Source organism: Homo sapiens, chromosome 3 (genome assembly GCF_000001405.40).
Source record: "Homo sapiens chromosome 3, GRCh38.p14 Primary Assembly".
Lineage (NCBI taxonomy): Eukaryota > Metazoa > Chordata > Mammalia > Primates > Hominidae > Homo > Homo sapiens.
In genome coordinates, this window is record NC_000003.12 from 127,589,296 (window position 1) to 127,614,652 (window position 25,357).

The 25,357-nt window shown below is 52.1% G+C and overlaps 2 protein-coding genes across 20 annotated transcripts in view, besides 8 other annotated features; one reads left to right on the top strand and one right to left on the bottom strand.

Annotated features, from left to right (window-relative positions):
* Window positions 1-380: part of an enhancer, noted in NCBI's record as "H3K4me1 hESC enhancer chr3:127307841-127308518 (GRCh37/hg19 assembly coordinates)", that runs on past the window's edge. NCBI's record gives its function as "activates a minimal SCP1, AML or CMV promoter by ChIP-STARR-seq in primed H9 embryonic stem cells {active_cell/tissue: H9 hESC(primed)}" and the evidence as "EXISTENCE:reporter gene assay evidence [ECO:0000049][PMID:30033119]".
* The window catches only part of TPRA1 (transmembrane protein adipocyte associated 1), a 27,000-nt gene extending 18,064 nt beyond the window's left edge, over window positions 1-8,936 (bottom strand). For 8 of the 17 annotated variants that reach the window (NR_073377.3, NR_148226.2, NM_001142646.4 and 5 more), the window contains exon 1: window positions 1,115-1,438. Coding sequence is in view for 3 of the 17 variants with exons in the window: in XM_047447440.1 (XP_047303396.1) it covers window positions 2,595-2,655; window positions 5,505-5,525 (82 nt within the window). In the remaining 14 variants the exon portion in view is untranslated. Of the gene's footprint in view, window positions 1-1,114; window positions 1,439-1,587; window positions 1,785-2,594; window positions 2,656-5,504; window positions 5,846-6,156; window positions 6,396-8,711 lie in introns of those variants that run through there. The other 9 variants (NM_001353007.2, NM_001353003.2, XM_047447440.1 and 6 more) reach the window with 8 other exon arrangements.
* Window positions 381-1,057: an enhancer, noted in NCBI's record as "H3K27ac-H3K4me1 hESC enhancer chr3:127308519-127309195 (GRCh37/hg19 assembly coordinates)". NCBI's record gives its function as "activates a minimal SCP1, AML or CMV promoter by ChIP-STARR-seq in primed H9 embryonic stem cells {active_cell/tissue: H9 hESC(primed)}" and the evidence as "EXISTENCE:reporter gene assay evidence [ECO:0000049][PMID:30033119]".
* Window positions 381-1,260: a biological region, named in NCBI's record as "H3K27ac-H3K4me1 hESC enhancer GRCh37_chr3:127308519-127309195".
* Window positions 791-1,260: a silencer, noted in NCBI's record as "silent region_14689". NCBI's record gives its function as "represses an Ori minimal core promoter by ATAC-STARR-seq in GM12878 lymphoblastoid cells {active_cell/tissue: GM12878}" and the evidence as "EXISTENCE:reporter gene assay evidence [ECO:0000049][PMID:35858748]".
* Window positions 1,761-2,090: a silencer, noted in NCBI's record as "silent region_14690". NCBI's record gives its function as "represses an Ori minimal core promoter by ATAC-STARR-seq in GM12878 lymphoblastoid cells {active_cell/tissue: GM12878}" and the evidence as "EXISTENCE:reporter gene assay evidence [ECO:0000049][PMID:35858748]".
* Window positions 8,794-9,751: an enhancer, noted in NCBI's record as "NANOG-H3K27ac-H3K4me1 hESC enhancer chr3:127316932-127317889 (GRCh37/hg19 assembly coordinates)". NCBI's record gives its function as "activates a minimal SCP1, AML or CMV promoter by ChIP-STARR-seq in primed H9 embryonic stem cells {active_cell/tissue: H9 hESC(primed)}" and the evidence as "EXISTENCE:reporter gene assay evidence [ECO:0000049][PMID:30033119]".
* Window positions 9,105-9,224: an enhancer, noted in NCBI's record as "active region_20457". NCBI's record gives its function as "activates an Ori minimal core promoter by ATAC-STARR-seq in GM12878 lymphoblastoid cells {active_cell/tissue: GM12878}" and the evidence as "EXISTENCE:reporter gene assay evidence [ECO:0000049][PMID:35858748]".
* The window catches only part of MCM2 (minichromosome maintenance complex component 2), a 24,026-nt gene continuing 7,784 nt past the window's right edge, over window positions 9,116-25,357 (top strand). Inside the window, exons 1-8 of one of the 3 annotated variants that reach the window (NR_073375.2) lie at window positions 9,116-9,177; window positions 10,023-10,252; window positions 15,313-15,488; window positions 15,582-15,861; window positions 16,823-17,042; window positions 17,315-17,522; window positions 19,087-19,221; window positions 19,537-19,728. Coding sequence is in view for 2 of the 3 variants with exons in the window: in NM_004526.4 (NP_004517.2) it covers window positions 9,172-9,177; window positions 10,023-10,252; window positions 15,313-15,488; window positions 15,601-15,861; window positions 16,823-17,042; window positions 17,315-17,522; window positions 19,087-19,221; window positions 19,537-19,728 (1,428 nt within the window). In the remaining variant the exon portion in view is untranslated. Of the gene's footprint in view, window positions 9,178-9,829; window positions 9,854-10,022; window positions 10,253-15,312; window positions 15,489-15,581; window positions 15,862-16,822; window positions 17,043-17,314; window positions 17,523-19,086; window positions 19,222-19,536; window positions 19,729-25,357 lie in introns of those variants that run through there. The other 2 variants (NM_004526.4, XM_024453531.2) reach the window with 2 other exon arrangements.
* Window positions 9,255-9,414: a silencer, noted in NCBI's record as "silent region_14691". NCBI's record gives its function as "represses an Ori minimal core promoter by ATAC-STARR-seq in GM12878 lymphoblastoid cells {active_cell/tissue: GM12878}" and the evidence as "EXISTENCE:reporter gene assay evidence [ECO:0000049][PMID:35858748]".

The following is a 25,357-nucleotide window of genomic DNA, read 5'->3' on the forward strand; positions in this document are numbered from 1 at the left end:
TCTGTGCAACAGGATTGACCAAACCCCACCCACAGCTACCGGATAGGAAACCCTGGGGAGAGGGGCCCTCAGTGCTTCCCACACCGACGGGTTGTTGAGCTTACAAACCCTAGGGCCTAAGGGTGGTGAGAAGGGGTGGAGCCCAGGGGTGACAAGGTGGGGAAGGCTCCATAGGGCAGAGGCCAAGTAAGTTACTTTGCTCTCCCCTGTTGTCCTTCGGCCTTGGGGCTGGCAGGCGTGTGGTCCCTGTCCTAAGCCGGAGACCCCAGTAAGATGGGGAGGCCTGGGCCCAATCTGACCTGCACCTTGCCCTCCCTGCTTGCCTTCCACCTGCTGAGCTGGTCCGTTCCTCAGGGCCTTTGGGCTGGCTCTCCCCCAGCTCTCTCCTGACACCTCCTCTGAGAAGCCTTCCCTTCTCAGCTGTCTCCAGCGCCCGAGCCGCGTCTGGGTATTTACTACTCTCTATCCCGGGAGTGCTCAGGACTCGGTCCCCTAGAACAAGGCCTGGCACGACACGAGCCCTCAACAGGTTGTTATGACGGGAACAACTGAATCTCCAGCACCGCCAAGCCCCGCTGGGGACTGGACGACCCTGCGGCCCCTCCTCACTGCAGAGAAGAGGGCAAAGCCAGCCCCCACCTGCATTCCCCGAGTCCAGAGGGAGCGGAGGCTTCGACATGGCCCCCTCACGGGGCAGCAAAGCCCCGAACCGGCGGCAGGCTTGGCTCAGGAGCACCTCGGCCGCTGCGGGCAGCCACCGTGGGGCTGGAGCCCGTGCCGCCACCCCGCGCCGGACCGGGTCGCCGAGGTCCGGATCTCCACCCGCACTGCCTCCAGCCGGGGCCGAGCCCGACGCCGCTACGTGCGGCTCCCTCCCGGGCCTCGCGTGCCCCCGCGCCCCGAGCGACTCCCGACTGCCCGGCACCCCTCCCGTGGGTTCCCACATCCAGGGCCTTCCCTCCCAAACGCCGCCTTGGCCGTCCGAGCTGCGCCCGAGCGGAAATGGGCCGCTCGCGGAGCAAGGAGGGGAACGGCGGCTGGGCTTCCCGCCGGGGCGAGGGACGGGGCTCCCCCTCTAGCTGCGGCAGGAGACGGGGAGAAGGCCCCTCCTTACCTGACAGCCCGGGCCGCGCTCAGGACCGGCCGCCCCGGCCGCCCCGGCCGCCCATCCGCCGCCACTGGGTGTGCGCGGATCCAGCACAGGCCGCGGGACTCCGGCCTCCAGCGCCAGACCAGGCGGCCTGGGCCGGGAAGCGTCGCGCAAGGACCGGGCGCGACCGGCTCCGTGGAATGAGGGCTAGGCAGGAAAGGCGAGGCGGGGTCAGCTCGCCGGGCCGCGGGTCTCGCGGACACCCTGCAGCCCTTCCCGACAGCGGCGACCGGGAAAGCAAGACCGTCTTTTTCGTCCAGCCCAAATTGCGAAAACGGCCACAGTCCCACAAGTCCCAGAGTCCCAGAGTCCCTGTTATCACTCAGGCCCGCCCTCTAACCTCCAGCAGCCTATAGGAATAAGTCATCACTGGGGGAAAAAAAAAAAAAAGTGGGAGAGACCAATCAAATTCCCAAGAGGCGGAGCAGCCCGCTGACCTCTTAAAGAGACAGCACAGAGGAGGTGCAGAGACAAGACGCTGCTTCACGGAAGAGAGAGGCCTGCGTTTCTCACTCGGAAAGCGGGCGGAATCGAAGACTGGAAAGCTGAGGACGCGCCACCTCTCGCCCTACGCGCCTTCCAGCTGGCAGCAGTTGTCAGTGGACCAGCTGGCGGCAGCCGCGCTCCACCTCCCGGCCTGGGCCGCGGCCGGACCGTCGGGGCGGAGCCTCCGGGGACCGCCCCCTCGCGTGCGGGCGCTTCGGGCGCCCTGCAGGGGTGACCTGGGGTCAGCTTGGGGGAAGGCGTGTCGGGGACCCTCCCCGGCGCCACGCGCTCCAGCCGCGCCACGCCGCAGGGCCGCCGCCTCCCAGCGCCCTGCTCCACGCGGCGCCGCCATGCCTCGGGCACTCCTCTTAGCAACCCTGCTAGGCAGTCATTATAGTCACCTTTTACAGGGCCACCTGAGGCTTGGAGAGGTCAAATAACTTGACCAAAGCCGCGCAATGAGGAAGCGACACAGCCAGGACGCCTCTCCCCAACTCTAACTTCCACAGTTCTTCACGCCTGTTCCTCTGGAAAGCCCTCCCTGATTGCGCCTGTCTTATCCCCTGGCATCGATGCTGCATTCACCATACTCAAGCCATGCGGGTCTCTGTTTCTGTCCCTCGGCTGTTCCAAGCTTGTTCCTGCTCCTGGCTCTACACCTGTTCCCCCGCAGAGCTGGCTCCTTGCCACATCATGTCCTCTAGAGGGTTTTGTGGACACCCTCGCTGGAGCGGCTGTCCAGTCTCATTTCCTTCCGAGCATCTTAATTCTCACCTGATTGTTTTCATTTACCTGCCTCCCCGTCCAGTCTCCCCACCCTATTATAGAATTCCAGCGTCATGAGGATGGAGCCAAGAGAGCCAAGCTGCAGGATGTCCCCTGCAGCATCCTGAGGCTGACTCAGAGCCTCGTGCAGATTGTAGGCACTCAGTTATTACAGGCACCCCAAGACTCACACCTTGCGACAGCACCGCTGGGCTGGAATGAGATTGGGTCCCATTCTTCTCCTTGCTCCTGTCCTAAAAACACAGGGAGATTGGGGAAGAAACCACCTTGTGATCCTCTGGGACTTTCCCAGCCTGGACCACACCCAAATGTGCATACCTAAGTTTAGGCTTCTATATTCGCCAGAGAGGCTGGGCAATGCCGGCCTGCGTAATCACGAATGACCACAGCCACAATGAGCCGTGGGGAATCCAGTGGCTCCTCAAGTTCCTCCCAGAAAGTTATACACATCACTCTCACGCACATTCAATTGGCCACCGCTTCTAGCCTCCAGAGGGCAGGAAACTGCCACCCTACCATGTGCCAGGAAGTAGAAGTCATGGGACATGTGTGACCAGGCCTAATAACTACCCTCTGTAAGGTTCTTGTATCGGTTCGAACCCTGCGAGCGCGCCGACACACAACACGAGGCGGTGTGGAGCAACATGCTGTTTTTTTTTTTTTTTTTTTTTTTTTTTTTGAGACGGAGTCTCGCTCTGTCGCCCAGGTCGGACTGCGGACTGCAGTGGCGCAATCTCGGCTCACTGCAAGCTCCGCTTCCCGGGTTCACGCCATTCTCCTGCCTCAGCCTCCCGAGTAGCTGGGACTACAGGCGCCCGCCACCGCGCCCGGCTAATTTTTTGTATTTTTAGTAGAGACGGGGTTTCACCTTGTTAGCCAGGATGGTCTCGATCTCCTGACCTCATGATCCACCCGCCTCGGCCTCCCAAAGTGCTGGGATTACAGGCGTGAGCCACCGCGCCCGGCCGCAACATGCTGTTTTAATGAGCGCCTGGGTGCAGGTGGGCTGAGGCCTAAAATGGCATCAGCCCCAAGTGAGGACGCGGCAAAGGTTTTATAGTCTCCTGTAAACAGGAAGTGTCCTAGTCTGACGTAACTGCTACGTTGTACCCGGATGGACTCTTTCTCGATCTTCACGGGTACATGTCTTCCCACCACGGTAGGTGTCTTCCAGCCAGCTCTTGTCCTGCTTCTGCTATCTTGCTGGCACAAGTAGCCTTGCACCTTGGAACTGGGCCTGAGAAGGGAGGAGTTATTCATCTTAAGCTTTCAGGCCCCAGGAAGAATCTTAAACCCTCTATTTTTATTTTTCTGCCTTTTGAGACTTGGAGAATTCTGCATTTTCTTCTCTTGAGTTTTGAACCCCATATCTAAGTTTCTGTGGGATTTTGTTGTATTTGTGAAATAACCAAAGGTATCTGCCTTTGAGAGCTGAGGCAGTGGCTAATTCACTGCAGTATCCACTACACACAGGACAGAGCGTGGCATCTGCAACATTAAATGAATAGTAGCTTAATAAACAGATCTGACTCTCAGGTTCTTCATCACCCTACAGCAGGCTCAGGGGTGGCCACGGCTGACAGTAGGAGATGCTGCTACAGAACTGGGCTCCCTGATAGCCATGGGGATGACAGCAATCCCCAGATAACAGACGCCAGATGGTAGTGCTTAGGCGTGAGAAGCAAAGTGGGTGCAACTGTCATAGGACCATCAAGATCAAGCTCAATATATCACTGGGATAGACATCCTGTGTAGTAAACAAAATGCCTGCACTGGTTCCTTGGTCTATGGGGTGAGAGTGATGGTAGTAAAAGTCAAGTGAAAGCCTCTGAGACCCCACTATCACCACCACCCACCCCGGCCAAGAGAGCAAGCACATAAACAACATCACACACCAGAGAAAATGGCGGAGACTGGTGCCACCCTTGAAGACCAAAGACGTGTGGAGGGTATCCCCCACCATGTACCTATTTAATTCATCAGTCTGACCTTATAAAAATAAACAGAGTGGCAATGGACTATTGCAGATTCAGCCAAGTGGTAGCCCTGACCACAGGTGCTGTGCAGGTGCATTGCTAGCACAGACAGATCAGCACGGCCCCCGCTTCTCAGGGGCCATCTGATCACCACACTTTTTCATCCCTATCAGGGACCATTTGCACTCATAGGAACGGCCAACAATACACACATATGGTCTTGCCCCAGGCCAATGATACCTTTCCCATCCTTTGTCATCACAGTCTGAAGGAGACTGGGCCATCTGAACGTCTTGCAGAACACTGCACTGGTTCATGGTGTCAATGACAATGTGCTAATCAGGATGGATGAGCAGGAGGTGACAAGTACATGGAAAACTTGATGAGACATATGTGCTCCAGCGGGCAGAAGATTAAACCCTATGAAGAATTAGGGGCTTGCCACATCAGTGAGGTTTGTAGGGGTCTGGTGGTGTGGGGCACACCAGAACATCCCCCTGCACACTCCATCACAGAAGAGCAAGCACAATGCTTAGAGGCCTCTTTGGGTTCTGGAGGTAGCAGATTCCACACCTGGGAGTGCTGCTCTGACCCACATATCTCTGGGTCACATGACATCAAAGGCTGTCCCTCAGGCTATGGGACCCACAGACCCCATGATACTAGAGGCATACATGGTGGGAAGATATGCTGTGTGAAGCTTACAGCAAGCTCTGGTGGGAAAAACCACAAAGTAGACCCCCTAGGGTTCTGGAGCAAGACCAGGTCATCTATAGTAGAGAACTAGACACCATTCACAAAGCAGCTCTGCCAGGCTACTGGACCCTGGTAGAGATGACTAGGGGACATCAAGTGACCATGAGGCCAGAGCTGCCCCTCATGAACTGGGTTCTGTCAGGCCCTCTAATATGTAAATTCAGGTGGGTGGGCCTAGCAGCAATCCACTGAGACTGTAAGCAATCCGTTGTACATCCACATCACCTACCACTGCCACAGCAGCTCCTCTGCCTCAGTTCACAACTACGCCAATGGGCAGTTCTTACGGAGGAAAAAGGCTGCGCTTGATCACAGCTGAGCTGGCTCAATACATGGGTCAGATGTAGTACCTGGATGTGCAGCGGTCGCATGGAGCCCTTGAGGATGAAAGCCACAGGCTACAGATGGTGGAACCAGAATGGGGAGGAGACTTGTCCTCGGCGATGTCCTGAAGCAGCTGCCCCAGCGCTGGATGCCTACTGACCTGGGAAGAGCAAACCCCAAGGTGATGTGTCCTGGAGCAAGTCCAGCATGACTGTTGGCTGGGGTCCCAGCTCCTCACTCCCCAAGCCTGTCCCAGGCTGCCTGAGTGTCCTCAAGACATGGATGCTGCCTTCTCTCAGAGTGAGCAAAGCTGCAGTCTTTTTGTAACTGAATCTCCAAAGTAACATCCAACCACATCTGTCCTATGCTGTTGGGAGGAGATCACACAAGGGTGTGAATACCAGAAGGCAAGGGCCATCAGGGCCATAATAGAGGCTGCCTACTCACCCCACCCACCTTTCTGTCTCTCCTACCCTGCCCCCAACCAGTGTTTAAACATGTCCAAGAACCTCTCATCTGAGAAAAAGCCATATCCCACTCCAGTGCCTGTCCCAGCTCTCACAGTCCATTCCACACCTGGGAATGCCTCTCTGACCCATACATCTTTGGGTGACATAAAAGCACTCCAGCCTCCAACTAGTAACTCACATTCACCCTTCTCACTTCCCTGCATCCTACCTGTCAACACACTTCAATGTAGTGTCTGACTCCAGACACACCGGCCAGCCCAGATCTGCTATCGCCAGGGCCACTAACAGCTCCTAGTCCTTATCAGATGACCTCTGGGCAGCCAGCTGACCCCATCCACCATCTTGACTGCTCTCTTCAGTGGCCTTTGGGAGGGCTCCTGATAATCCCCAGCCCTGCTAGGATCTCCTCTCCTTCAGTGTGGGCCGGACCTCAGGACTCACTTCTCGCTAAGAGAATATGGCAAAAGTAAAGGAATATCACTTCCAAGACATGGCATCTGTCTTGTATGGCCTCTCTCTCTTGTTCGCTTGCTCTGAAAGAAACCAGCTGCCAGGTTGTAAGCTGCTCTGTAGAGAGGCCCCCACCCAAGAGCCAGTGGGAAACTAAGTCTTCAGTCCAACAGCCTATGAGGACCTGAATCCTATCATGTGAAGAAGCTTGGAAGGGGATCCTCCTGAAGATGAGCCTTCAGAGGAGACAGCAGCCCTGGCCAATACCTTGCCTGCAGCCTTGAAAGACCTTGAAGAAGAGGCACCCAGTGGCATCGTGTCCAGATCCCTGATCCACAGACACCGAGACAGTGGGTGCTAATTGCTTCAAGGTGCTAAATCCCAGGATAATTTTTTTTTTTTTGAGATAGAGTTTCGCTCTTTTTGCCCAGGCTGGAGTGCAATGGCACAATTTCGGCTCACCGCAACCTCCACCTCCAGTGTTCAAGTGATTCTCCTGCCTCAGCCTCCTGAGTAGTTGGGATTACAGGCATGCGCCACTACGCCTGGCTAATTTTGGATTTTTAATAGAGACAGGGTTTCTCCATGTTGGTCAGGCTGGTCTTGAACTCCTGACCTCAGGTGATCCACCTGCCTCAGCCTCCCAAAGTGCTGGGATTACAGGTGTGAGCCACCATGCCTGGCCATCCCAGGATAATTTTTTATGCAGCAATAGATAACACAAGCCCATGCAGAGTCTCTTCAGCTTTCCTGTCAGCAGCTCCTAGCATCCGAGGTGCATCCTTCACATCCTTTGTTGGTGTCTCTTAACTGTTGGGGTTTCCCAGGTCCCAGGCTTAGACCTTCTCATCTCCCTGCACTCACTCTGGATTATACAACCACTCCCAAGGCAATCTACAGCTTCAGTCCAAACACGCCCTTGAGTCCCATACATGGATATCCAACAGCTTCCTGGATATGTCCCCTCGGCCCAAATTCAGCACAGCCAGAAACAAACTCATCTTCTTCCCCCTTAAATTGCTGGTCTTCCTGTGCGCTCCTATCTCAGCTATCATCCACCTAGCTAAGCCAGGATCCTGGTGTCATCCTGCATGCCTCTTTTGCTGTCCTCAATCACCAACACCTATAGACCCCACTTCCTGGCCGGGCGTGGTGGCTCACGCCTGTAATCCTAGCACTATGGGAGGCCAAGGCAGGCGGATCCACTTGTCAGGAGTTGGAGACCAGCCTAGCTAACAATGGTGAAATCCCATCTCTACTAAAAATACAAAAATTAACCGGGCACAATGGCGTGCATCTCTAATCCCAGCTACTCGGGAGGCTAAGGCACGAGAATCGCTTGAACTTGGGAGGTGGAGGTTGCAGTGAGCTGAGGTTGCACCACTGCACTCCAGCCTGGGTGACAGAGTGACTCTGTCTCAAAAAAAAAAAAAAGATTCCACCTCCTAAACATCTTGTATTTCCAGTTCTCTCCATCACTCCTGCCTCCCTACCCTGGGTCCCAGGCAGAGATGCTTGTTCACTGCACAAAGTGCCTGGCTAAGAGGGTTGCGATTCAGCCCTGCCTCTGCTCACTAAGGCTGCCTGGAACTAGACAAGAACCACAGCAACCTCCTCGTTTGCTGCCTTCAACCTCGTTCAATCCACTTCCACCTGGTAGCAGCCAGAGGGATTCTAAAACCCACACTAGTTCACGTCTCACCCTGCTCAAAATGCTTCCATGGCCTTCCATTGCTTTCAGAATACAGAATAGTCAAACTCTCTAGAAAAACATCTAGCTCTTTTTTGATCCGGATTTTCTCTCCCTCAAGTCTTGTCTGTTGCCCGGCATCATAAGCTCCTAGGGTTAGTTCTTAGGGAGGGGCTTGCACATCCGGGCCCTGCCATGACCTCTGCAGCTTTGCACATGGCATCCTTCTATCTGTAACATCCTCCCTGCGTCTTCGCTCCCCTGGGCAAAGATAACTCCTACTAAAGCCTCAGATGTGACCTCCTACAAAATCCCAGAGTTGTCCAGCTGCTTGAAGTATTGAGCCTTTGAGCTTTGGGAGAAGTTAAACCATTGTGCTCCTAAGACGGTAAGAAGCGTCAGAAAACCAGGCTCTGAACCTCTGCTGTCTTTTTTTTTTTTTGAGACGGAGTCTCACTCTGTCACCCAGGCTGGAGTGCAGTGGCGGGATCTCGGCTCACCGCAACCTCCACCTCCCAGGTTCAAGCGATTCTTCTGCCTCAGCCTCCCGAGTAGCTGGGATTACAGGCCCGTGCCACCATGCCCAACTAATTTTTGTATTTTTAGTAAAGACTGGGTTTCACCATGTTAGTCAGGCTGGTCTCGAACTCCTGAGCTTGTGATCCGCCCACCTCGGCTTCCCAAAGTGCTGGGATTACAGGCGTGAGCCACCGCGCCCGGCCTCTGTTGTCTTGTCAGCAAAATGGCCCTGGTGTGACCGAGGTCACGCAGCCAGCAAGTGTCGTCGGGTCCCCTGGAGCCTCAGCTTCTACCTCCGCTCCAGCTCCCACCACAGCGCAGGCGAGCGCACGCGCACAGCGCCGGGCCGCACACCTCCGGGCTCTGGGCGGAGCGCCTCGGGCGTTGTAGGCGGGACCGGACCCTCTGGCCCGCCCCTCCGTGTCCCTTCTGGTCGCCAGTGGACGCCGACGTCATGACGTCGCGTTCCGTAGGGCTCTTCCCGGGCTTTGGTGGGTCACGTGAACCACTTTTCGCGCGAAACCTGGTTGTTGCTGTAGTGGCGGAGAGGATCGTGGTACTGCTATGGCGGTGAGCGCGCTGGCGCGTGGCGGGCGGGCGCCGGGGACATGGGTGCGGAGGCTGCGCGCTTCCCGTACTCTGGCCCCGGCCCAGGGCGGCGCTCTGGGTGAGGCTGGGCCCCAGGCTCTGGGGCGCAGCTACTTTCTCGCCTGCACCCTGCGTGAGGCGACTCGCCTACCTACCACTGACCTGGGGCCCTGGGCTCCCTAAGGCGAGCTCGGCCCGTTCAGCCTCTGTCCTTTATTCACCCCACACATACTTATTGGGCGCCATCTGTGTGGCGCTGAGCGTACAAAAGACAGGCCCCCATTTCACTACACTCCTTTAAACTTTTTTTTTTTTTAATTTCCCAATGATCCTTGTTCCAAACACTACACTTACTTTTGTATTACCTTCTTGTCCCTTTGTCTTGTATACTGTCTGTTCCACATCTGAGTTCCAGACCTCTTGTTTTGGTGGCTCTTCTATGCCATCTCTATCACAATACCTTGCGCACTGTGTGTGCTGAAATAGGTCTAATGCTTAAGGGGAGATAATAGACAGTAAACAGGTAAATAGGCAAATGACATAACCTCAGTGGTTTTTCATGGAGAAAGCACGGTGATGTGGGTGACCCCGATATTTGAGCTGGCTTCTATTTGTTTGGAAGCCACTGACTCAGATTGCTCAGCTGAGAGCATTCCAGGTGAGAGAACAGCAAGGGCAAAGATCTGGAGGCTGGAAGGGGTTTGGTGTGTTGGAGGACAAGAGTCACAGGTGGAGAGAAAGAAGGGAAGGCCCCTGATGGTAAAAAGGAAGCTGTATCATGCCTCACCAGCTTCCTAGGTTTCTGACAACCGCACCTTCTCTTGCAGGAATCATCGGAATCCTTCACCATGGCATCCAGCCCGGCCCAGCGTCGGCGAGGCAATGATCCTCTCACCTCCAGCCCTGGCCGAAGCTCCCGGCGTACTGATGCCCTCACCTCCAGCCCTGGCCGTGACCTTCCACCATTTGAGGATGAGTCCGAGGGGCTCCTAGGCACAGAGGGGCCCCTGGAGGAAGAAGAGGATGGAGAGGAGCTCATTGGAGATGGCATGGAAAGGTAATTTCATTCAAGGCCCTGGACTCAGCAGATAGTTTTGCAGAGAGCCCATTGTGTGCCTGGTGGCCTGGCTTTGGGAGCTGGGAGCAGATGAATCGATGGCATTCTTGCCTTTGAGCACAGCTTGATCCAGGGTTCTGAGGAGACAGGTTTACAGAGCCATGACACAGGTCTCTTTAACTTACTGCATGTAACTTGGAAAGACTAGACCCTAAGCTGAGGATAAGCCCCGACTCCATAAGCACCCCAGAGAATGTAGGGGTCTCTAATCTGGAATACTCCAACTCAAAAAGACAGGAAGCAGGAAGCCCAGTGTTTCCCAGTAACTTTTCAAAGGAAAGGTGCATGGGGGAGGAGGGATCTGATAAATAAAGTTTTAGAGTCAATCAGCAAACATTTATTGTACCTAATGTGCACCATGCCCTTTGTTAGGAATGGTCTTGTTTATTAGTAAACATGTGGTGGCTCACACCTGTAATCCCAGCACTTTGGGAGGCCGAGGTGGGCGGATCACCTGAGGTCAGGAGTTTGAAACCAGCCTGGTCAACAGGGTGAAACCCCGTCTCTGCTAAAAATACAAAAAATTAGCTGTGCATGGTGGTGCGTGCTTGTAGTCCCAGCTACTTGGGAGGCTAAGGCAGGAGAATCACTTCAACCCAGGAGGCATAGGTTGCAGTGAGCTGAGATCACACCACTGCACTCCAGCCTGGGCGAAAAGAGTGAAACTCTGTTTCAAAAATAAATAAATAAATAAGTTAGCAAGACTTAATGCTAGGAGAGTGGAGTAAGCTCTGCGCATAAGCAAGGCTAGATTTCTACCCCTGCCTTACTCTGCATTTCCAGCTGCGATCTGGTAGATAACGTCAGTAGCGGAATTGTGTGAATGCCCAGGAGCCTCGTGGAGATGCTCCTTTTGTGCCTTTTCAGCCTTAGCATGTGTGAGAGTACTGTGCAGGGCATCCTGCCGTCCCTAGGATGTCAGACAGTTGAGAGGCTTTCAAGGGCACTCCAGACTGGATGCATCTTTGCTATTATCAGTACCACCCCCAACGATGAGACTGCATGTGCTGTAGGCTGTAGAAGGAATGAGGAGTCTGGATAAATCTGCCCTGGACTTGGGGTCAGGGCATGGGTCCTAGACGGCTTTCCTGTTCTGCCTGATGGAGTTGTTCAGGCCGGATGCCCCTCCTCTGCTGTTTCCCCTCCCTGTCTTGACCCTTTCTCTTTGCTTCTCTGAGAAGCAAAGAGAGAGGCCCTTGGCAGGGGGCTTCTGGGTAGAGGTATCTGAGGGATGGCTGAGCCCAATTACATTTGTTTTTGTGGTTTTTCAAAAAAAAAAAAAAAAACTTTATTGGGCTATAGTTTTTTAGAGTTTACCCCTTGCGAAAATATAATTCAATGCAAATTCATGGTAAATTTCCTGAGTTATGCAGCCTTCACCACAATCCAGTGTGAGAACAGGGCCGTTTTCCCATTGAGGTCCCTCCTGCCTGCTTATAGTTCATTCTCAGTTCTTACCCAACCCACAGGTAAGAATTAAAGACCTGTCTCTAGATTTTCCAATCTGGTCATTTCATATAAATTGAATCATATTATATATGCACTTTTGTGGTGGGCTTTTTTCTCTTAGTGTGGTTTTAAGGTCTTTCTGTGTTCTTGCATGTGCAGCACTCCATTCCTTTTTGTGGCTGAATCATATTTCTTTGTATGGAGATACCACATCTATTCATCAGTTGATGGATGTTGGCTTCCTCAAGCCTTTTGGCGATTATGAATAATGTTGCTATGAACATTCATTACAGGTCGTGTTTTTTTGTTTGTTTGTTTGTTTGTTTTTGAGTTTTGCTCTGTCGCTTAGGCTGCAGTGTAGTGGCACAATCTCAGCTCACTGCAACCTCCGCCTCCCAGGTTCAAGCAATTCTCCTGCCTCAGCCTCCCAAGTAGCTGGGATCACAGACATTTGCCACCACACCGGCTAATTTTTCTATTTTTAGTAGAGATGCGGTTTCGGTTTTACCATGTTGGCCAGGCTGGTCTTGAACCCCTGACCTCAGGTGATCCACGTGCTTCAGCCTCCCAAAGTGCTGGGATTACAGGTGTGAGCCACCACACCCGGCCCGTTACAGGTTTTTATGTGACCAGATCTTTAATTCTGTTGGCTATGTAGGAGTGAGATTGTTGGTCTTGTGTTTAATCTTTTGAGGAACTGCCAGACTGTTTTCAAAAGCAGCTGCACTATCTTGCATTCCCACCAGCAACACATGAGGGTTCCACTCCTCCGTGTTCTTGCCAACATTGGTCTTTTTGATTCTGGCCATCCCTGCAGGTGTGAAGTGGCATCTCATTCCTGATGGCTAATGATGTTGAACATCTTTTCGTATGCTTGATTGGCTATCTGTGTATCTTCAGAGAAATCCTGGACTCACTTTTTAATTGGGTTGCTTGTCTTTTTACTATTGAGTTGTAAGAGGTTTTTTACATATTCTGAATATAAGTCCTCTATCAGATATGTAATTTGCAGTTATTTTCTCCTCAATCTGGCTTATCTTTTTCGTGGTTTTAATGTTTTCTTTTGAAGTGCAAAAGTTTTGAAATTTGATGAAGTCCAGTTTAACTTTTTTTTTTTTTTTTTTTTGTATGAACCAATTAGAAGTTTGCTGAGGGCATTTTGTGTGACTTGAGATCCAGGGAGAATGGGACCGATACCTTTTCCCCGAAAACATGGAAGAAATCAGACCTGGTCAACTCTGATATCTGCCTGGCTGGGTTCTGCTTGGGGCATCAACAGCATAAAAAGATTTGTTCTGACAGTAGTTTGACAATGTTTATTGCAGAAAAATAGTAGCAGTTTCTCTTGTCACCATTTAACCTGAAAAAAGGAGAATTCAAGGGGATTGTCTTGGGGAGGCAGTATGGCATGGGGGAAGGAGCTCTGGGCTTGGACTATATTTTGACACTCAGGTCTACAGAGCGACCATAGGCAAAAATCACATTTTCCCCTCAACTACCCATTTCCTCATCTTTCAGATGGAATGACAGTGTCTCCTCCTCAGGGAAGAGAGCACTGCAGGGAAGAGAGCACAGTGCTTTGCACTCGCTGGGTGCCTTATTAAGGCATTACTTCTCTTCAGTATCTGAAGGAAGATAATGTGGAAAATGTGTGTCTGATGGTCTTAGAGTAGCTCAAAGGGTTGAGACAGTGGGTGGCCATTTCAGAGGGCTGGTTTGGCTGACTGTGCATGGAAGCCAGGACATCAGGTTGTTGAAGGCGGCATAGTCAGAGATGGGGAAAGTACAGGGAGAATTCCAGCCCTCACGGGGAGTTGGGTCAGCTCTCTGAAGCCTTTTGGTCTAATGTTTTGTGGTTCCTTGAATTATTTTTTCTTATTGGGCGCATAGAAGCTGTCTGGAGATCTACCTCCCCTTTTGTAATTGTGGTAAAATACACATAACAAAATTTACCTTTTCTTTTGTTTTTTTTTTGAGACAGAGTCTCACTCTGTTGCCAGGCTGGAGTGCAGTGGTGTGATCTCGGCTCACTGCAACCTCCGAAAGTGATTCTCCTGCCTCAGCTTCCCAAGTAGCTGGGACTACAGGCGCCCACCACCGCGCCCAAGTAATTTTTGTATTTTTAGTAGAGACGGGGTTTCACCGTGTTAGCCAGGATGGTCTCGATCTCCTGACCTCGTGATCCGCCCGCCTCAGCCTCCCAAAGTGCTGGGATTACAAGCATGAGCTACTGCCCTGGCCCAAAATTTACCATCTTAACCTTTTTTGTTTGTTTGTTTGTTTGAGACGGAGTTTCACTCTTGTTGCCCAGGCTGGAGTGCAGTGGTGCTATCTCGGCTCACTGCAACCTCTGCCTCCCTGGTTCAAAGTGCTAGGATTACAGGCATGAGCCACCGCACCCAGCCCTTTTGTTTGTTTGTTTGTTTTGTTTTGTTTGCTAGTTTTTTGAGACAGGGTCTTACTCTGTCACCCAGGCTGGAATGCAGTGGCACGAACGTGGCTCACTGCAGCCTTGAACTCCTGCGCTCAAGCAATCCTCCCAGCTCAGCCTCCTGAGTAGCTAGGACTATAGGCATGTGCCACCAGGCCTGGGTTATTTTTTTTTTCTTTTTGTTTTTTTTGAGACGGAGTCTCACTCTGTTGCGACCAGGCTGGAGTGCAGTGGCACAATCTCTGCTCACTGCAACCTCTGCCTCCCGGGTTCAAGCGATTCTCCTGCCTCAGCCTCTCGAGTAGCTGGGACTAGAGGCACATGACACTACGCCCAGCTAATTTTTGTATTTTTAGTAGAGATGGAGTTTTACCATGTTCGCCAGGATGGTCTCAATCTCTTGACTTCGTGATTCATCCGCCTTGGCCTCCCAAAGTGCTGGGATTACAGGCATGAGCCACCGTGCCCGGCCATTTTCTATTTTTATACAGATGGGGTCTCACTATGTTAAGGCTGTTCTTGAACTCCTGGGCTCAAGTGATCCTCCTGCCTTCACCTCCCAAAGTGCTGGAATTATAGGCATGAACCACCATGCCCAGCCATCTTAACCATTCTTATGTGTATGGTTCAGTGGCATTAAGTACATTCATATTGTTGTGCGGCCATCACCGCCATCCATCCACAAAAGTCTTTTCAGTTTGAAAACTGAAACTGTCTCGGTTAAACACTAACTCCCCATTCTTCCCAGCACCTAGCAACCATCATTTTACTTTCTGTTTCTGTGAATTTGACCGCTCAGTGAGTGGAACCATATAGGATTTGTCCTTTTGTGCCTGGCTTCTTTCACTCAGAATCATGTCCTCAAGGTTCATCCATGTGCCAGCACGTGGCAGAATTTCCTTCTATTTTAAGGCTTCATCGTCCATCATATGGACAGATCGTGTTTTGTTCATCCATTGGAGATCTTTTCTGAGCCTTCTGTGTTTCTGACCTGGAAGCGCTGAGCCTACCCACAATGGGGCTCCTGAACCTTAGGGAACAGGCCCAGTTCCTGGATGGGGTTTGGTGCTTAGGGTTTTCCTTTTTGGCAGTAACCACATCTGTTTTGGTGCTCCCTCAGGGACTACCGCGCCATCCCAGAGCTGGACGCCTATGAGGCCGAGGGACTGGCTCTGGATGATGAGGACGTAGAGGAGCTGACGGCCAGTCAGAGGGAGGCAGCAGAGCGGGCCATGCGGCAGCGTGACCGGGAGGCTGGCCGGGGCCTGGGCCGCATGCGCCGTGGGCTCCTGTATGGTAGGTCCAGTTGTCTGCCTGCCCGAGGGACTGGGAAGCTGGGAAGGAGTCTGGGAGGGGAGTAGAAGGTGCTGGGGATGACCGCAGTAGCAGGTGTCTCTTGCCTCCCCAGACAGCGATGAGGAGGACGAGGAGCGCCCTGCCCGCAAGCGCCGCCAGGTGGAGCGGGCCACGGAGGACGGCGAGGAGGACGAGGAGATGATCGAGAGCATCGAGAACCTGGAGGATCTCAAAGGCCACTCTGTGCGCGAGTGGGTGAGCATGGCGGGCCCCCGGCTGGAGATCCACCACCGCTTCAAGAACTTCCTGCGCACTCACGTCGACAGCCACGGCCACAACGTCTTCAAGGAGCGCATCAGCGACATGTGCAAAGGTGTGGCTTCCCTACGCCCCCGCCTCAGCCCCTGTAGCGCCTCCCTAAATCCTCCCCAGAAAGTTGTCTGAGCCGAGTGAACACGTGAAGCACAGGGCATATGGCTGAGAGGTCTGTCAGAGAAACCAAAAGTTTTGAGTTTTGCATCAGGGCTCTCCTGCTGGCTATGCAGTGACCACATCTGGGCCACCAAAGCGTTTTTTGACAAGCTTGAAAATGGACAGATTTTATATAAAAATCTGGATTACTACTTTGATCTTTGTAATAGGAATTGACTCTTTTTTTTTTTTTTTTTTTTTTTGAGACGGAGTTTTGTTCTTGTTTCCCAGGCTGGAGTGCAATGGCACGGTCTCGGCTCACTGCAACCTCCGCCTCCTGGGTTCAAGCGTTTCTCATGCCTCAGCCTCCCGAGTAGCTGGAATTACAGGCATGCACCACCATGCCTGACTAATTTTTTTTTTTTAGTAGAGAAGGGGTTTCTCCATGTTGGTCAGACTGGTCTCAAACTCCCGACCTCAGGTGATTTGCCCGCCTTGGCCTCCCAGAGTGTTGAGATAACAGGCGTGAGCCACCGTCCCCAGCCAGGAATTGACTTTTAAAAGGGACATGTAGATCTTGATTCCTGCAATTCCTTCCACTGCTTTTTGTCCTGTGTTTGTCAGTTTCTTCCTGGCTCTTGTAAGGCGTTTCATGTTTGTAGCTGTGTAGGCACTCTGCTCATATTTAATTTAACCCCCCAGCAACTTTGTACACTGTGTGACATGCCCATTTTACGGAGTAGGAAGTTGAAGCTCAGGCTATGTCACAGCTGAAGTGTGGTAGACCTAGAAGTGAAAGCTGGGCTTTCTAGGTCAAAATCAATGGTCGGGGTGGGTAGGCCTTGCTTCTCACACAGGCATTGTTGCAGCCCAGCCCAGGCCTCATGCTTAGTTAACTCTCTTCCCACTGTGCCCCCTTCTAGAGAACCGTGAGAGCCTGGTGGTGAACTATGAGGACTTGGCAGCCAGGGAGCACGTGCTGGCCTACTTCCTGCCTGAGGCACCGGCGGAGCTGCTGCAGATCTTTGATGAGGCTGCCCTGGAGGTGGTACTGGCCATGTACCCCAAGTACGACCGCATCACCAACCACATCCATGTCCGCATCTCCCACCTGCCTCTGGTGGAGGAGCTGCGCTCGCTGAGGTGAGCTGAGGGCAGGTGAGGATGGCAGGTCCGAGCTCAGTGCTGGGTGACTCGGTCGTGATTCCTGAAGAGCGATTGTGGTGTGGGCGGGGAGGGTGCAGCCAGCAGCATCCTCATCGCAGGTGAGTTGTGGTTGCACAGGAGTGTGATGGGAGGGATCTTCCCGGGCTGGGGGCTGGGCCCAATTTCCAGGACAGTGTGTTGGGACACTCTCGTCTGCAGCCTGGCCTCACCCTGGCTCACGGCTTCTGATGCACCCTCTGCCTCCGCAGGCAGCTGCATCTGAACCAGCTGATCCGCACCAGTGGGGTGGTGACCAGCTGCACTGGCGTCCTGCCCCAGCTCAGCATGGTCAAGTACAACTGCAACAAGTGCAATTTCGTCCTGGGTCCTTTCTGCCAGTCCCAGAACCAGGAGGTGAAACCAGGCTCCTGTCCTGAGTGCCAGTCGGCCGGCCCCTTTGAGGTCAACATGGAGGAGGTGAGAGAGGACACAAGGTCTGCTGCCAGCTGTCCTTAGGGGTGCCCAGTATGCAGGACCTGACTGGCCTCTCAGGCTGTGGAAGACCAGTGTGGGCAGCCGCAAGAAGCAAGATAGAATTGTGTGTTGGCCACACCCTGGGGTGGACCCAGTCTGTCTGGCCAGTGGACTTAGCTTGGCCCACACGACGTTTTTAGGAATTCAAGTCAATATTTAAGTCAGGCGATTTGTTTAAACCATACAAGTTTATGGCTCCTCTTGAAACATGAGAAGATCTGGCAAACAGGGCCCACTTCTTGCCAGGTCACTCCTTCAGGATGTGTGCTTACCAGTCTCCATGGTGCCATCACTCACGTGGGGTGGCTGCAGTCCCATCGGGACTTCCCCTCAGCTTGTTTCTGGGACCTGTCTGGCTCACGTGGGGCCCCTGGACCATACCAACCTCCTGCACCATATTCAGGAGACGCTGCCAAAGCCTCTGATGTTAAGGTCTTAGGCACATGTAATGTGCCTTTGTACTTGAGCGTCCCTGTAAATGGGCTCATCGCCATCGCTGTGGTGGCGCCCAGGCCCCTTGACTGCCTTGCTGCTGTGGCTGTTGGCTGTCCTCTTCTCACCGCTCTGCAGTGCAGTTCTGCGAACTGTCCCAGCTGGAGCCACCTTGCCAGAAAATGCCTCAGAGGTTCCACCTGTGGCCACCTACAGCCAAAAGCTGACCCGTCTCGTCTCGGGTGGGGCAGCTGCAGGCCAGATGCCAGCTGAGCCACGTCTTTGCTCACTCTTCCCATGCCCTGTCTGTCTCCCTCAGGCCTTGCTTCTAGGGACCTGAGATAGTACCTGGTAGAGGGTTAACAGTTACAGCTATCATTCATGGAGTAACTTACCAGTGCCAGGTGGTGGGTGGTTTATTACCTGGTCCTTTTTCACAGCTCATGAGGCAGGAACTGTTACTGGCCCCACTTTGCCGAGTGTTTAGAGAACTGGCTGAGGTCACCCAACCAGAATGTGTGTTAGAGGTCCACAGCTCAGGCATCTTGATCTAGAGCATGTGCTTTTAACTGCAGTGCCATGTTGTGAGATAATGGGTACGAAATGACATGGCACAGTGCTGGCCTGTGATACTTGACAGTGACAGCCAAAACTTCCTGTAACTTAACATTTATCAGATGCTGGATTAGGTTGATGTATGTATGACTTGCTTTAATTCTTATTGTGAGGTTGCAGAGAAGGCACAGAGAGAGGAAGTCACTTGCCCAAGATCACACAGCTTAGACACAGAACCCAGGCAGCCTGGTTCCAGCATCGGTACTCAAGACAGCTTAGCTGTAAAGCATAGAGCAGGTGCTGAGTCTGGCCGTCAGAAGGCATCCCAGAGGGATGGTGTGGCAGGAGTGGGGACTGTCAACTGATGTGCTGAGTCGCCATGAACTCATTCCTTGCTGTCTTTGGCTCTCCATTTGCCACTCAGGAGTCGGAATCCTGCCTGTTCTCCCTCCTGTTCGGGGGTCAAGGTTAGGTGACATAGTAAGTCAGTGATTTGAGGCCTTCTGTGTGTCCCTCGCAGACCATCTATCAGAACTACCAGCGTATCCGAATCCAGGAGAGTCCAGGCAAAGTGGCGGCTGGCCGGCTGCCCCGCTCCAAGGACGCCATTCTCCTCGCAGATCTGGTGGACAGCTGCAAGCCAGGAGACGAGATAGTAAGTGGCCGGGGCAGGCTGGGAGGGAGCCAAGTTGCAGAGGGAACTGGCAGAAGCAGTTGTGGCTGGGCCGGTGGCGGTGTCTATGGTCGCAGGGGCACTCGGGCTAGGATCTGTTTTTGCATGGCTGAGGCAAAGAACTTTCTTCTGGTGGATGGGTTGTTGGAATGGTGGGTTTAGGAGGGGTTTTACTGAGTTACTTATCTTGGTGTCTGTAGTGTGGAGCACTTGCAATAGGAGAAACTGGAGGAAGGCAGCACGGAGGTGGGCACCCCTGGGTTAGGCTCTGACTTCTTGGCCCCTCCCTTTCCCCAGGAGCTGACTGGCATCTATCACAACAACTATGATGGCTCCCTCAACACTGCCAATGGCTTCCCTGTCTTTGCCACTGTCATCCTAGCCAACCACGTGGCCAAGAAGGACAACAAGGTTGCTGTAGGGGAACTGACCGATGAAGATGTGAAGATGATCACTAGCCTCTCCAAGGATCAGCAGATCGGAGAGAAGGTAGGTGGAAGGCAGGGGCAGGGGCTGTCAGGATGCTGTGAGAGGATATGGAGGGTTGCTGGGGCTGTGGTAGGCACCTAGGGCTCACTGCTCAAACCTTGCCTTATTCCCCTGGAGCTCAGTAAGCTTGTCTGGAAGGGAGGCCCTGTGCTCCAGGGAAGAGGTAAACTCGCATTGGGGATGGGTGAACCTGGCTGTGGCTCCACCATGGGCCAGCGAGGTAGTGGGATAACTTGGATGACCTCTCTGAGTCTGTGTGGTGGGAGGAGTCCCCTGCTGAGGACGGGGTTGCGACGAGAAGAGCTCTTCCTTTAGCAGATCATTTCAAGCTGTGGTTTGAAATTGGAACAGAGGCAGGGCAATAGGATAACTTGTGTCATGAGGGATTCCTAGGGATCCAGCTGTGGCCAACGGGAATTTCTTCAGAAAAACAACCCAGAATGGTGGTGTTTTTTGTTTTTTTTTGTGATGGAGATGGGGTCTCACTACGTTGTCCAGGCTGGTCTCAAACTCCTGGCTCAAGATCCTCTCACATTGGCTTCCCAAAGTGCTGGGCTTACAGGTGTGAGCCCTTGTGCCCAGGCAGTTGGGCAGTTGGTTTTTAGTATAGACATCCTTACTGAAGGATGAGGAGATGGGGATTTATGTTGCAGAAATACGGATTACTTAAACAGAACGTTAAATTTCTGTTGATAAAAACCCTTTGCTGTTTCTCCCACATTACCTCCATCCTGCCCCCAGAGCACCGTGTGTTCTCAAGCTCGCTGCTCTCCCCTTTCTCTTCCTTCCTTCCTCTGTTTCTCAGTCAACTTCCTTTTTTTTTTTTTTTTTTTTTTTTTTTGAGATGGAGTCTCTCTGTCACCCAGGCTGGAGTGCAGTGGCATGATCTCAGCTCACTACAGCCTCTGCCTCCTGGGTTCAAGCGATTCTTGTGCCTCAGCCTCCCGAGTAGCTGGGATTACAGGCACACATCACCGCACCTGACTAATTTTTGTATTTTTAGTAGAGACAGATTTCACCATGTTGGCCAGGCTGGTCTCGAACTCCTGACCTCAGGTGATCCGCTTGCCTCAGCCTCCCAAAGTGCTGGGATTATAGGTGTGAGGCACCACGCCCGGCCTTCAAGTCAACTTGAACTTCAGTTTTTAATGCAGAGCAGTTTAGTTCGCCCTTTAACCTCCACTCTTCTGCCCTCTGGCAAGATAAAATTCAGTTCCCATTTGGCTTCTTCAGTGAACTGGGTGATTTCCTTCTGACGTATGTAAACCCCCCAGGGACAGGAGCCATCACTGGCTTAATCACCTCTGTCTCCAGGGCCTGGCTGCAGGAGGCCCTGAGTAATTTTGAAGGAATGGATGGTGGGGTAAGGAGAGCTGTGTCCAGGCTGCAGGTTAGCTGATTTGTTTTGGTTGTTTCTCTCCATCCACCTTCCCCTGAAGCCTGTGGAGCCCCCTTTCTTGGTTCCTCTGAGGCACGGCTATGGTTGCCCCTTCCTTTTCCTCCTCACGCATCACATTTACCCATGTCTGCCTGCCACTTAATATTCCTACACATGCATGGTTTGTTCTGTTCCTTTCTTTACTCCTTGAGGCGTGTATTCCAAGTAGGCAGGGTAGTTTTGTGTCTCGGTTCCTTTTCTCAAGTGTATTGCGTGTCTTTGCATCCACCGTGAGAAGCTGCTGCAGGCTAGACGCAAACCCAGTAGGGGCAAAGCATCCAGCATTTGTGGGCTTATATGTTACTGTCATTGTTCAGGAAAGCTCCAGAAATGCATCCCTGGCAGAGGCTGGTATTGGTGCCATTCCTTCCCAGCTCTTGGCCATCGAACCTAGTCTGCGAAGATCTGGGGTTCCCATAGGAGAGGTGGGTGTTTCTCAGCGTCAGGAAGCCAGGAGCTTCAGTTCAGCCAACACACATTGGTTCCTGGAAGACCTCCTAGGGCCAAGTTGTAGGGATACAATGGTGAGTAAGTCAGACATGACCCTTGCCCTCAGAGCTCATATTTTACTAGGGTTCCCAATAATAGGAAATAGACAAGATCTTTTCATGTAGTTTTACATGCGAGGAAGACAGTCACACAGGCAAAGAAAGCCAGGACCTCCCAGCCTTCTACCCTCACCACCTGCAGAGGCTCATGAGTGCTACCACAGTGGACACCTTTGCAGAATTTCATCCAGATGTTTGAGCTAATTTCTTCAGGCTTGGGTGGACTTGGCCCTGCTGGGGTCTTACAGTCCCTAAGCAGCCGGGCCACCTGTGTCCCACATGATTATCTGTGTCTGTGCCTACCACGCCAAAGGAGCTGCATGCTTGAGGAACTCTCTTCTGGCACCTTCTCTTCCTTTGCCTTGAGCTTCAGCCACTAATCTCCCACTCTGTTGATTGAAGAGGTGAGAGACCCATAGGTGAGCGTGTGGCGGGCATGGCATGCCTGGGCACTAATAAGGCATCTGCCCGGGCCATCCCCATGTGCTTCTGGAGCCCCAGGTTCCAAAACGACTTGTTCCCCAAATGGAGGCAGCCCTACCCCGCTCCCGTGTCTTGATGCCTGCTATTTGTGTCTACATAGAGCACCTTCTCCCTCACTTGTCCCCAGCTGACTTCTGTCTTCTGCAGATTCCATCTCCAGCAGGAAGCCCTGCAGGCTTCTGCAGCTGACTTTTTTTTTTTTTTTTTTTTTTTTTTTTTTTTTTGAGACGGAGTCTCGCTCTGTCGCCCAGGCTGGAGTGCAGTGGCGGGATCTCGGCTCACTGCAAGCTCCGCCTCCCGGGTTCACGCCATTCTCCTGCCTCAGCCTCCCAAGTAGCTGGGACGACAGGCGCCCGCCACTACGCCCGGCTAATTTTTTTGTATTTTTAGTAGAGACGGGGTTTCACCGTTTTAGCCGGGATGGTCTCGATCTCCTGACCTCGTGATCCGCCCGCCTCGGCCTCCCAAAGTGCTGGGATTACAGGCGTGAGCCACCGCGCCCGGCCAACAGCTGACTTTTTGTATTTGTTTTTATTTTGAGTTAGTTATCATCCTTGAGGGATCCGGAGACTTCACATAGAAATCCGGATGCTTTTTGAAAATCCAAGATCTGTGGGTGCTGGCTCTGTGTTCCTCTCTGGTAACGCTGACGGAGCTGAGGCATAGCTGCCCTTGCAGGTAGGGCCTGTGTCCCCAGGTTTACCCCGTCCCCTACTCTGTCAGTTTCATGGCCCTGCCTGCCTTCCGTGGGCCCTGGACACTGATCTGGTAAAGTATTAAAGAGATCAGGGTCATGCCCAACACTTAGAGATTTTAAAGAACTAACAGAAGCAGCATGCAGTCTGAAGCCAGACTTTTTAGGTTTGAATTTTGGCCTAATCCTTAGGATGGTCAGATGAGTCACCCTTATCTATAGAAATGAGAGGATGAGAGTAAACACTCATAGAGTTGTTATAAAGATCAAATAAATTAGTGCATATAAAGTACTTGGCTGTTGGCGAGTGCTCAGTATCTGGCTGTTACTGTACATGGCTACCAAAGTTAAACTATTTGTACAAAAACTGGATGGAAGAGCCTGTGACAGGCGTGTAGAAAGCATAAGCAGCCAGTAGGTAGGACAAAAATAGCTTTGAGCCTGATGCTTTAGGCATTTTACACACATTATCTCAGGCTCATGGTACCCATGCAGGTGGGTGCTTTTTCTCCGTTTGCTGGGTGGAGCTCACAGTACCCACTCAGGTGGGCACTCTATCCCTGTTTGCTGGGTGCGGAGACTGAGGAGTGCTAGGAAGCAGCACACCTAGAGCCAGGAGGAGCATGAGCTTTGGATTCAGATGCATCTGGGGTCGAGTCTTGCCTCTCCTCTAGGAGAAAATATTTTGACCTGAGCCTTGGTTTCCTCTGTAGGATCGAGAGAAACAAGGTTATTATGAGGATTACATGAGGTAATTCATGGAAAGCGCTGTTATTCCCTGGCAGGTCTGGGATTTGATTCTGCCCCACTTTCCAGCCATTAAATTAGCCTGCTACTCTCTCCTGGAGTAACTGGGTCAGCGGTGGAAGGCACAGCAGGCAGTGTAGGCATTCACACATTTGCGCTGCTTGCCCTCCAGTCCCACAGGGAAGTCCCCCTGGATGCAGTGGTTGCTTTACAGGAGGGGGATTGAGTTGGGCAATCTGCCCTGCATAGCAAGCAGGAAGCTCTTGGCCCTGGAGGGAGACATTACCTCATCCTGCAAGGTTGCTCGCTACAAAAATTATACGGGGAAATGAGCTGGGTTAAGAGGAGTCAAGGATTGGCAGTCTTGGCACATCCAGCACGAGGTGTGTTGGGGCATGAGAGGTCCGTGGAGTGGTCTGCCCAGCATCTGCAGCACAAAGTAAGAGTTTCATAAGAGAGTCATTATACTTACTGAGGACTTAGTATCTGCTTGGCATTGTCTAGGTAATTTCTAGATAGCAATGTTCCTGTGAGGTTTCATCTCTGCCTGTTTTACTGATGAATAAACTAAGGCACAAAAGGTTAGATAAGTTGGCCATAGTCACATAGCAAGTGGCAGAGTCAGCAGCCTGGCTTGAGTCCATGCTCCCAGTGACTGTATTGTGCCAACAGTTGGTGAGTTTATTTGGTTATTGTGAGTTCCATGGGCACTCTGTGTTACATAAGGCCTGGCCCACATTTTAAAACATTGTTACAGAAAATTTCAAACAGGTATGTAGAATGGTGTAGTGAACTTTGACCATTTGTCTTAGTCCATTTTCTGCTGCTACAACAGAATACCATAGACTGGGTAATTTATAATGAACAGAAATTTATTGACTTATGGTTTTGGAGGCTGGAAGTCCAAAATTGAGGGCTGGCATCTGGTGAGGGCCTTCTTGCCATGTCATCCCATGGCAAAAAGGTGAGAGTTAAAGAGACAGAGTGAGAGCCCAGAGGGGGCCAGACTCATCCTTTTACAAGGACCTACTCCCTGGATAGCAGTGCTTTTATCCTCCATTCATGAGAGCAGATCCCTCATGGCCTGATCACCCCTTAAAGGTCCCACCTTTTAATACTGTTAAATGGGGGATTAAGATGCCAACACATGCTTTCTGGGGGGTACATTCAAACTGTAGCACTCTACCCAGCTTCCACAGCTGTCATAGTCACAGCCAATCGAGTGTTCTTAATACACCACCCATTCACCCTTGGTATATTTCAAGGCAAATTCCAGGCATGCCGTTTTTTTCTGTAACTACATCAGTATGTATATGAAAAAGAAAAGACTCTCTTTGAATAAACCTAGCCACAATACCATTATCTCACTTTAAGAGGTGATTAACAATTCCTTAATATCCAATATTCTGTTGTTGTTCACATTTCCCTGATTATCTTACCCCTTCCCCCTGTTTTTTACAGCTTCTTGGAGTCATTATCCAAATAAGATCCATAAGTTGTGATTGGTTGATATCTCTTAAGTCTCATAATCTTTAGATCTTTTCTCCATCTCTTTTTTCCTTGTAATTTTTTGTGGAAGAAACTGGGTCATTTGTTCTGTTGAGCCTTGCAGTCGAGATATTGCTAATTATGTCCCCATTAGACACACACCTCTGTCACCTGTGTTTTCTGTAATTTGGCAGTCAGGCACTGAAGCCTAGTCAGGTAAATGCCTGCTTA